A 12,649-nucleotide genomic window follows, 5' to 3' on the forward strand; every position below is an offset into this window, starting at 1 on the left:
CTTTAAAAATAGTTTTACATATGAAAGACTCCTAACCTTCATGTATGTTAGTAACAAATGTGGAAATGCCAACTGAAAATGATACTATCACAAACATTTCAACATTAAATTAAATTAAAACATTTAGTGATGTGTCTGGATGTATTGAGTGGTTTTGTTTTTGTTTTTCTCTCTTTGTCTGTGAAGCAGGACTCCTCTTCCTTACAAATGTGAGAAGATAGGTGCAGAGATATTGAAGTACACAATTTGGAAAAAGGAAATAAATCAATATTGAATGGTATTTTTCTTTTCCTTTTCAATTTTCCTTTTCATTTGTTTATTGCCAAGAATTATTGCCAAGAAATTTCCTTTTCGTTTTTTATTGTCAGTTTTAAGATGAAGCATTTTTAGAATAAAGTCCTTGACTTTATTTTGTATTTATTTGTTATAGCTTAGAGATTTATTCATAACAATCTACACAGTGAGTACATAAGATATTCAACTTTTCCATATACAACCTCATTTTACATATGTTATAAAAGTGTTGCAAAATAGCTGAAAATTGCATTCAGCAATAAAACGTGCTGTAGTCAATGTTTCCACTATTCTATTACAACTGAATGGATAAAGCACCATCTTAGCATGATTATTCCTCAGCCTCATTTGTGGCCTCTGAGTAATGTTAGAGAATGGTTCACTAACAACTTTATGAATCAAGATGACACAACTCTAAAACAAATTGGCCAGTCTAGATATATCATGGAAACGCTATGGGTATCAAGATGTGGGTAGAGAAAACAAGAAAATAAATGAGGCTTTGTGAGAAATACCAATAGTAGCAATAATAATAAAGATCAAGGTAATAACATAAAATAAGAATGCAAATCCCACATACAGAACAATGTACCTAGTCTGCCCTAAGAGATACATATTCCCTAAGTCCAATCCCTATACTTCCACAATACAAGGTTTATTCCCATTAGCAGATGTGAAAGCAGCAAAGTGAAGAAATACAGTTTTCCCAAGATTAGCTCGAAAATTAGTGACAGAGGGGTGGTTCCAGGATGCATTTAGTATGACTATAAAATTAAAAGTAAGAAAATATAGATATTTTATACTTGTTCAGTGCTCTACAGTTTACAACGTGCTTTCATACCACTATTTGATTCTTTCTGGAATCCTAGGAGATAACAGATATTATTACTAACCCTGTGGTACAGAGGAATTAGTGGATACTTAAAATAACAATAATGACATGCCTAATAAAGCACAGAGGCTAAGGGGGTAGGAAACTAGCTCAGTGCTCTCTCCATCAAATCACACCAGCTGGCTTGGAGAACTGACTGAAAGAAAATAATATAGATATATGGGGAGAAGGAATATATATATATATATATCCTGGAGGCCAATTTAGACAAGGATTTACGGCTTTTTATATTTATCCTTGTTTTACAGGTTACTAGAAGAAATGTGCCTGGAGAGGAACCATGGGGGGAAAAGTGGAAGAAATAAAGGTAGCTTACAAAGGCTTCGTGTGCTGGCAGAGATCTGGAAGAGCTAAATCTGCCAGCAGTTAAGGGAGGCAATGAGTTATTCAGAAAAAAGCTCTGGGCCTGCAGTCAGCAGATATGGGTTCGAGGACAGGCTTTGACATTAAACAAGCTGAAAGATCTTTGAGTCACCTAATATCTTGGGGACTTATTTTTCTCACTTGTAAAATGAGAAGATTGAATTTTATGATGTGCAATGGATTTACCAACTCCAAAAAGTTATGATTGTAGCATCTAATTATATTTCAAGCCTTATTAGAAAGCTATCACTGATACAGGAACAACTCCAGTGGGCCCTCCAAAGCAGGAAAAGTCCCAGGAGGAATGCTGGCACTTACACCTAACCCTAAGCATCAAAATTGGCAGCAATAGTATTAACCTGCTAATTTATTTTGTACTTGTCTTCCTTGCAATTAAATCAGTTGAGGAATAAAAGGAAGCTTCTGAGGCAATAAGGAGATCAAAGAAAAAAAATTGGAAGCAAATGATTCTTCTAAATTTTCTTACCCCTCAAGTAGAGGTTGTATCTGCAGGACTGCTTTGATACTAGATTACGGATTCGAAGAAATAAACCAATAACATCATATTGTTTGAGGCAACTGAGCCACATTTCCCTCTCATACTTTCTGGTCACCTTAAGTCCAGGAAAACTTTATTCTCTCCATTCAAATGATGATCATCTGCCTCTCTGCTCTTAACATATAACAACAAAGAGAGAACGCTGCTGTTGAGACCTCCCCAATTATTTGTGGCTGTTTTGTCTACATGTATCACAGAAACTCAGGAACAGGTATTCCAGATCTCTAAAAAGACAATGCCTCTGTCCTTCCAAAATATATCTACATCCAAAATTTTCAGTATAGGCATTTTGGGTATTGGTAGGGGCAGTTCTGCTCCCCCCACCAAGCATTTACATATTGAAATATACATTATTTTATTATAAACTACTTTTTAAATTTCTCATTAATTTTTTTGGTATATTATATGGATAATTTTTGGTTATTGTGAGTGTATAGGTGGGTTTACTATCTATGAATTCCATTTCACGATATTGAATAACTATTATACAGTACTTATTATGAAAGTAATTATTGGGTCTTATAGGAATCTTGCTCACTGGTCTAATACAACTCACATTATTGATGAAAGGTTTACAGTCCAGGTTGGGCAGACCACAATGCTTCCCTTAGCTCCAGTGTTCCTTTAACATTTGTGATTAACCAGCTTTCTAACTGACCAGGATTAGAAGGTCATCTGATATTTTATATATTCTCATATGGATTGAAAAACATGGGCAAAAAAAAAAATCTCAAATCAGTGCTGCTACATCTCCAGCAGAAAGGTAGTTGGCTCAGCTAACATTTACTGTACTCATACAGCTATGAAAGACACACTCACTGTCTGAGTAAGGTAACGCTTATTGTTGGCAGGGTAGGAGGAGGCACTTGAATAAAAAGCATAAAGCACTGGTGTTCTATCAGGAAACAAACAACGTTCTGTGGAATTGCAGAAGGAGAAAAAATTCTTAAAAGAGTGATCAGAGAAGGTTTTATAAAAGAAATAACATTTGAATAGAGACTTAAAGGTCAAATAGGGCTTTGATATAGTAGGAGAGCAAACACTATGAACAAAGTTAATTGGTGTTAAAATTTGTCTGTGTTCAGGGAATAATAAGTAGTCAGTATGAGCACAGAGGTGTGCTTCCAGATGGAGTGGAAAAGGGAGATGTGGCCAGACCCTGGACGGTCTGGAATGCAACCTAAGGAACTGTGGCATGTCCCGTTAGACAATAAGGAGATTCTACAGGTTTTAAAGAGAAGGTACCAGCATAATTCAGTCTAGTTTATGAAAATGACTGGCAGGTAAAGATCAAGATGTGAGCGCAGAAAACACAACCAAAAACAGGCAGGGAGACTAATTAAGAGTTTCTTCCATAGGCCAGTCATGCAATGACATCCCAAGCCTGAGGCTGGGCATCGATTGTAAGAATGGGGAGGAGAACAGATAGGACAGAAAACGGTATTTGATAACTGGGTACAGAGAGTGAGAAATATCAAGGAGAGGAAGACGGCTGTAACTGAAGGAGAGAAGACACTCTGGCAGACTAAATATTGAAGCTGTCCTCACAGAGTTAATAAGAATTCTGATGGAAATATAGTTGTAATTAAGCATTAATCAGGCTGCACTTTTGCCCACTGCCTCCAAACCAAGTCACAAAGCATTAGAAACTGACCATCTGCATCCCCATTTTTACTATAGATAAAATTTCTGATGTTAGAAACATAAGGCTTTTGTTTTAAGAATTATTTAAGCAGATCCTGAATTCCAGTGGAACGGCTGACACCAATCAGTTTAAAGACCCCATCAGAGGAAACAAATCAGCATGAAAATACAGGTTCTTTATCTTTTTGCCCCATGACTTCACCCCGCACTCTTTGACTAACCAATAATCTGTACACTTTGGTCACTCCAAAATCCTTAAACCCCTAGCCCCACATTCCCTGGAGAGATTAATTTGACGTTTTCTCCTGTCTCGTCTCATTTAGTGGCCCTACAATTAAACCTCTTTCTTTCTGGTGCAATCTCGTGTTTCCACATATTGACTTTTCACATGCATTGGGCAATGAACCTGTTACACTTACAATATTTAGAGAGAGGATAATTAATGTGGTTTGGAACAAGCTGAGTGTCCCTATAATAAACTTTTCTCTCACTGAAGGTAGTATCAACATCAAAAGCAAAGCAACTTCCCAAAACCAATACTAACTTGTGAGTAACAGCTGTCTTCATGACACTATATGGCTGGTTTAAAAAGCCATTCAAAGCGTAAAAGAGGTCCTATAATGTTTTAAAGAAAAGGTAATTGAATTAAAGAAGCTTCAATGTTATAAATAAACTTCATCAGCAGATACAAAATAAAAAAGGTCTTAAACGAATGCTATAATTTAAAAAATGTATTGTGTACATCATTTGGTAGTTAAAAACAGCTGTTTACACTACTTAATGTGTGTTAGGATATGATTTGATATGATACCACGCAAAAGAGTAAACTGATGTTGGAGAAGACATTTATATGCATATACATGCCCCGAATCAATTTTCAGAAGCAACTTGCTCTTACACGCATTGAGGATGACAATCTTTCATAAGATCTTTCACTAAATGCTAATATTTTATTTTTCTTACTGTTTTTGCTGTGTTTAACAAAAGCATTTCATGTGCTCTTCATGCAGACTCTAAGGCTGTTTCGATGTGACAGCCTAATTCTAATACGCTATTAAAATAAGTGACTATAATTGTTGGGCTGTTAAAGAAGACATTATTCTCCATCTCTCTATCTCAAAACCACTGGGAAATGTTCCTGCTAAGGATGCTGGCACTGCTCTGGGTGTGGGGTAGTGGAGAAAGAAAGATTTCAGAATCAGACAGAGCCCCTATGTCACTTGATGGATTGAATTAGAGATCAAGTGAAGTCATCAGCAAAGACAATAGCTCCCAGATAAGACAAAGCTTGGAGAAAAGAAAAAACAAAAAACAAGGAAACAAACCAAAAAACCTTATCAATGTATCTAGATAAATAAAGTGTTGATCAGAGAAGGGGCGGTAGTAAAAAATGGAAACATACTAGTAAATTATAAGCTAGTTGAGTAGACATGCATAAGCCTACTTTAGCTTGATGCCTTCACACTTTTAAATCACGTCGCTAACAATCCTCATTGTGATTTCATGCTCACCAAGTAATAGCCTGATTACTCTGTGGTTTCCCATGTGGCACGCCTGCAGGTGGAGTGTCTGCTTGCCTCTCCAATTAGATTGCTCATAATAAATTGAAAAACTGGTATGCATCATTCTTTTTGAGTGGGGTTACTTCTGATATGTTGATAAATCAGCTTTCTAAGCCTCCTAGATTTAGAGCCAATCTTTGAGCCATGATGAATTTGAGGGGGTTGCCCTATGAAGCTCCTTGGAGATGGATAGAATGTCTTCTCTTAAGATTTCCAACATTGCATTGCAGTAATTGTCCCTATTGGCAGAGTGAACATCAGCATGAAATAAAATACAAGGCAGCATGTTTGACACAGTACTGTCATAGAGCCAGGGTGCAAATATAATGCAGAGTTCAATATCAGCTTACATTAGAGTGAAATGGAGCACTAACCAAATGTGAAAACAGGAATTTTAAACAAGGACTGTCCTAAAGAAACCAAGGTATATAATCATCCTACTTATAACTCAGGTTGCTGGACCAACCTTGACATTGAACTGGAAACATTTATGATCATTCTTTTGTGAATCTTATGAACCAGTAATACCTCAAGCTATAGCTTCTCTTCTGACAGCTAAGTGCAGACCCCTCTCAGAACTGCATGGTAACTCCCCGAGGGTCTCCCTCATGGGATGCCATAGCACACACTTCTCTTCTAGACGAAATCCAGGCCTGGTGGTCCCAGCTTGGGTTAGTCTGTATTTGCTGTGCCTTATCAGAGAAAACATTTTTATTTATCATTTTCTGTATTGTTTGGATTTTCTTCCATTCATCCAATTTTTTAATGATAGTCTTTTAAAAAAAGTTGTTAACCTCTTCCAAAATTTTTACATATTTCTGCCCTTGTGCAATGAAGACCCCTATTGATGGACCATGAGCTTCTGAAAAGAGCAGAAATAGGTCAGGCGCATTGGTTCACGCCTGTAATCCAGCACTTTGGCAGCCTGAGGCAGGCGGATCACGAGGTCAGGAGATGGAGACCATGCTGGCTAATCCGGTGAAACCCTGTCTCCACTAAAAAAAAAAAAAAAAAAAAAAAAAAAAGTACCTGCGCATGGTGGCGGGCGCCTGTAATGCAGCTACTCCGGAGGCTGAAGCAGGAGAATTGCTTGAACCCTGGAGACGGAGATTACAGTAAGCCGAGATTGCACCACTCAAAAAAAAAAAAAAAAAAAAAAAAAGGAATATTCAAATTTTTGAGTCTCACCAGGGCTTACACACAGGGCCCCAATACAGGAGAAAATATATATTTTATATAATGTTAGATAGATAGATACATAGATAGATAGATAGATAGATAGATAGATAGATAGATAGATAGATATCGTATATCATTAGGGTTGTTGCTTTCTACAGACTTATTTCTTTACTGGATTTCTCTTTTTCTCCTGATTATTCTATATTGACGTTTATCACTGAGAAGAGTCATGGTAAATTCTCCGTGGTATACAAAGTGAGATGTCTGGGTGCAGACTTTATTTACTGAAAAAGATTCCTCTGAGCACACTTTACAAAAGGAGACAGCTGCTATAAATCATGAGAAATTAAACAGTATATTTCAAATTTCTTAAAATTAGAAAATACCCGTTAGTGAATAAATATAGAAAAACAATTCTAAACTCAACGGCAAATTCCTATGGCTTAAAATCAGCTCCATGTTTTAGATTGCTTTCAGTTACAATATCAATGATTGCATAAAATATATTAAGACCTAATCCAAAGAAAGAAGTTCCAGCGTAAGTGATTACAACAATGCAAGTCATAGAGATCCCAGCCAAGAAGTAAGTTGCATACACATCATCTTGACTTGTAATACAGATACTACAATTTCTCTAAAATAAAAGGCTTTCCAATCTTATTGACCTAAATAAATTCAATCCTAGACAGTGGAGTAACGAGATTTGGGGTACGTCTGTTTAGAAGTATCAACTAAGAAGGATAAGAATTTTAAAAAGAAAATACTAAAAACAAATCGAGGAGGAAACAAAAACTTGTGTTACTACGGTTTAATTACTATTTGCCATATGACGCTGTTACATATAATTTGCTCACAGAAATTAGACAAAATCATAATACATTCAGAAATGGGGCAGTAAGAAATAGTTAATTTTCAAATAAATGTCTAGATGAGTAGAAAATGTATGTATGTGGAATTCATTCTCAGTGAAGCAATGGAAATTGTATTACAGTTCTCATAGCATGAAAATCTAGCAATACATCCTCCTAAACACTTTTATTTAAACATCTTCAGGCTGATAATAAGGTATTAGCCACTTTTAAGAAAATTATTATGGGGAGAACATTTTGTGTATGAAGATAAAAATTTCAAATTGTAAGAGCAAAATTTTGGGATACTAATCTTAAATTTCTAGCATTTACTGAGTGCTCACAAAATAGTAGGGACCCTTCTGAATTCTATGTACATGATTTCTCATCTACTACTTTAAATGAACCAAAAAGTTAGATATTATGATCATTTCCATTTTATAGATTAGAAAATAGAGGCTAAGTGACTTACTCAAAGTCATACTGCCAGTAGGTAGTACAGTCAGAATTCTAACTCAAGAAATCCGTCTCCAGAGTCCTCACATTTTGGAATGAAACTAAATATATAACACTAGGAGAACAGCTACCTAATTATGGTTTATCAGCCTTCAAGTGCATCATTAAATAATACTAATGAGTACTGGATGATACATAAAAAGCTTTCGATATTTAAATTTAATATATTTTATGTATTTAATAGATTTTTAAATGTTAACTTTAATAAATGAACAATTGCCCTTAGACTTTGTCTGTAGCTGTTTAGAGATTCTGAATTCCTATGATGGCGAAACCAAACGTGAACGTGAAAATTCTTGATGCATTACAGTAGGCAAACTCTGATAATGGAGAGAACCCAAAGGCAATGAACCAAAAAGATAGACCATTTGTCTCTCAGATGATTGTTTCAGGGAAGATAAGCAGGTCCCCAGCAACAAAACCATCCAATGACCTAAGTTGACAATGGCTTTGTCATATTTACTATGCAGTATCCATGGCTGCTCTGTGCATGGTCTTTTCAGACAATAAAGGCCTGGGAAGGGGGAAGAACAGAAGAGGCAGATATTTCTCTTTAGTGCACACATTACATCACTCACATTCCTTTAAGAAAAATTTGGGCTCTTAACCATGCCCAGCTCAAGAAAGGCTGGAAAATGTACTTTATTCAAATGTCTGCACTGAAGAGAGAGATCAGTATTGATGGACAGCTGCTAGTCCTGGCCACATAGGTATGGTGGATATTTTTCCTCATTACCTTTATTATAATTATTTATTTCATAAAGACAAATGAAATTCCAGTAATAATTGAAAATTATTTCTAAATAATCTTCCATTTTTTTCTTTTGGAAGTTTAATGAAAATGCAAAAGTATTTAAGAATTGAAGGGTTGGTCATGACATATAAGTAAGGATCACATGACTTCAACTGGTATACACAATCGTTTTGTGAGAAAAAATTGGAGTTATCATTCTGGAACAGAGAGTCGATCTCGTCTGGTGGCCAATGCCAGATGTTTCACTGAGAGAAATAAACCTCCCATAATACACTTAATTTCACAATACTATACCATAGGGGGGAATATCTTCCTGACCCATCTGGTGAGCAGCTTCTGCCCTGAAGCATGAAGATTGATAGCTGGTGTAATTCTATCCTAGCTAGTGTACTGTAACTGCAGATGCATCTCTTCCTCATGTGAATGTCTAATTATTTTCAGGATCATTTTCTCATATTCATATCCTGTTGCCTAGAGTTACATAGGTGAAAAATATTGTTAATTCTTGAATGTTATTCTGAAAAAACACATATGAGTGTTTAATATATTGTTCTATCTTGTTTTACTAGCTACAGATCAACTGTTTTTAGAAAAACTGTTCAACTTATATTTCGTATTCCCCTCAGTAGTTTGAAAGGTGCATTATTAATAAACTATGTTTATCAAAATATATAATTGGCTCCATTTCATTTATGTCAAATGTCTTTCTTTATTTTCCCTGAAAATTTATTGTCATGAAATAAATTTCTTGCTGTTAATTTCACTGTAAATTTCATTGTGTTATCACACACACTATGGACCCTAATGGATCAATACACTGAAATTATATTTGATATGGGGCTATTAGCACCCATATCAGCAGGATAATTAACTTCCAAAACAGATATCATTCCTTGTCTTCATTATTAATAGTGTGCATATCTTGAAGAGATAATTCTATTTGTATCTAATGTACTTCAAATGAATCTGTGGCTAAATTCCAAAATCCATGTGAATTCTAGACTTTAGGAACAGGATTTCTTGGCATGGAATCATTTTAAGATATCTTAGGAAACAAGCGAGTTGAAAAATATTTAAATTGCCAATCATGAAAAGAGCTACGCATAGGAACAATTTATAGAGGCCACATGGAAGAAAGATTTCAATTTTAAATACTATGCAGAATTTAGATCATCCTTTCAGAAATAGTGGAGTCAATCTCTATTTAAATGACCATAGAATTCACTTAAAGGTCAGCTTTCACTCAGTAAAGCAAAGGCCAACGGGTTTTTCGTTGCCAGAATAATTCTCCCTTTATAACTTAGGAGGTGAATAACTTGATCCAAAAATATGTTTTGTGCTTAATGACAGCTAAAAAAATACAGTAGCTTTCACGTATTTGCATTTCTTTATTTTTGCATTGTTATTACATTAATCTAATTTACATTAACATGTAAATATGATTCATTCATTGACTAAATGCATATGCTATATAAGAGCCTCTACTAAGCTCTACTAACATGGACAAAGAATGTTTTCTATCCTCAATATCTGGCAGTTCTAGTGGGGATACAAAGAAAAGATATTCTGAAACAAAATTTTCACACGTTAAAATCTCATCACTGCCTATGAATGGGAGATCTGGAATTACACTGGTCTCATGAAATAATTATCCTGAACCTTAACATCGTAATAAATGCTGGGGACTGAAAAATGTAGGATTGATGCTAATGATTAAATGACTATAATTCCATCAAATAAAAAAAAACCTCATCTATTTTTAGATAATGTTTGCCTAATGTTCTTATGTCAATTAATGGATTAGGTGCATTTTATTTCAAAAGTAAATATAACAAATTTGAAGCATGCACATTTAAAATTTCTTTGTCTAACGATTTCTAACCTGACTAAGAATGATAGTGCCACTAAAATCTATTTATGCTGCTATTTACTTAACTCATTTGTTACACTTTGGACATTTTCTTTTACTGCTTCATTTTGGTATAAATCTAGCTTTTAATTTGAAACTGCTCATCTAATTCTATGCTTAAATTGGAAGACAAACTAACAAATGCTGCCTGACCATCACTTTGCCTAAAATCACTTCTTATTTAATGATAGGTTTTTCCTTTACGTTTTCAGCCACCCTTTCTGCATGTACCAGGTGCACCTAAAAAGTTTATGATGTATCTAAGTGCCAAAGAGAATTCCTCAGGTGTTAGGAAGAGGCAAAACTTACAGGGCATTTGATAATTAAGTGTAACTTAATAAATGCCCAAGTAATGTTTTTCCTTATTGTCATTCATATAACTGTCTTGTAGTTTTTTTTACGACATTATGGCCTACTTTTCAATATGACCATGTCTTAATATCAAGTGTATCAAATCTAATCCTATGGTTTATTGTGGGCAACCCCAGTTGGTCTGCTCTGAGCTTTTTCCTCCCTTCTCAGTGAATGGAAGTTATACTTATGCCCGGCTGGTGGTTTGAATCACCTCAATTTGTTCTGGCAATCAGAGGCAGCTGCTTCATGTGAAAGGCATGAGGACCACTGAACATCACATTAGGACTGACCTCAAGCTGAATGTAAAAGGCTCAGACCTTTCTGCCAGGCCAGCAGAGCATGTGCAAACAGATTTGCTGAAGTGCAAAATGGTCCAATGATTTAGAGCAAGACTTGTTGTCTTTTCTTTTTCTCTCTCCCTCCCTCTCTCTCTCTCTCTTCTTTCTTTAAAAATGAAACAAGATAGCAGACAGGCTGGTATAATCCTAGCAACATCTGTTGCCTTTCACAAGGGTCTTGGTTGAGCACAATCACTTTTCAAAAGGGGACTGACGTCCTGTTGAAAAGGGTAAAATAAAAGATCTCAGCTGAAGGGAGTATGGCCATGTTGCCTCAGACCCACTTGAGTCTTTTGTGGTTTCTGTCAGTATGAGTATAAAGAAAGTTTATTCTCCTCTACTTCCTGATGAAACTGCCAGAAAAAAAAATGTATATAGATATATATATTTTTTTCTCACTTAGTGCTTAAAGCCCTTAAGGAAATATAGAAAAGTTATATTTCAAACTCCTTGTTTTTATTCCCAATGATTTCTGAACTTTAAGCTCGGTTAATCAGAAGCGTGAAGAAATTTATGCTGTACATTTTATCATGTCTGTTACTTTTGGCCTTTCTTATTAAGTTAGTTTTATACTTTTTCCTACAGTTTGGGAGCAATAGGAAGGTTCTTTTTTGTGAAAATGAATATTTCACACTGATTATTTTTCCCTTCAATGGATCTGTTCATCTTACCCTACTTATCTAATGATGGGTTACAGTAAACATTAACTTGAGATAATTTATATAGAAAAAGTTACCTACTCTTATTTGCAAGATGTTTTTTATGAGCAATTTTGTTCACTCTAACCATCACATGCTTTCACATAAATGAGGATGCAGATGCAGCTGATATGTATATATATCACCTGCTGGCTTCTGTTTTGTAAAAGAAAATAGAATTATATATGTATATATATATTATACATATATATTTTAGATATTTCTATTGTTTTGTATTTGTTTCAGACATTTCTCTTTTCCTTTTAAATATATATATATATATATATATATATATATATATATATACACACACACATATAGAGAGAGAGAGACAGAGAGAGAGAGACAGGGTCTCACTCTGTCACCTAGGCTGGAGCACAGTAGCACAATCTCAGCTCACTGCAACCTCCACCTCCTGGTCTCAAGCAGTTCTCCCACCTCAGCCTCCAGAGTAGCTGTGACTACAGATGCGTACCTCCATGCCAGGCTAATTTTCTTATTTTTTGTAGAGATAAGGTTCCTCTATGTTGCCCAGGTGGGTCTTGAACTCCTGGGCTCAAGGGATCCACCTGCCTCTGCCTCCCAAAGTGCTGGGATTACAGGCATAAGCTACAGTGTCTGGCCTGACATTTTTGGTATTATTGATATTTTTATTAATTATATATGTTTTTGGAGTTATTCACATAATTTTGAAAATATATTTAAAGACAACATCTAAAGATGCAGATTTATGCATATC

This window comes from Homo sapiens, chromosome 18 (genome assembly GCF_000001405.40).
Source record: "Homo sapiens chromosome 18, GRCh38.p14 Primary Assembly".
In the NCBI taxonomy this organism is placed as follows: Eukaryota; Metazoa; Chordata; class Mammalia; order Primates; family Hominidae; genus Homo; species Homo sapiens.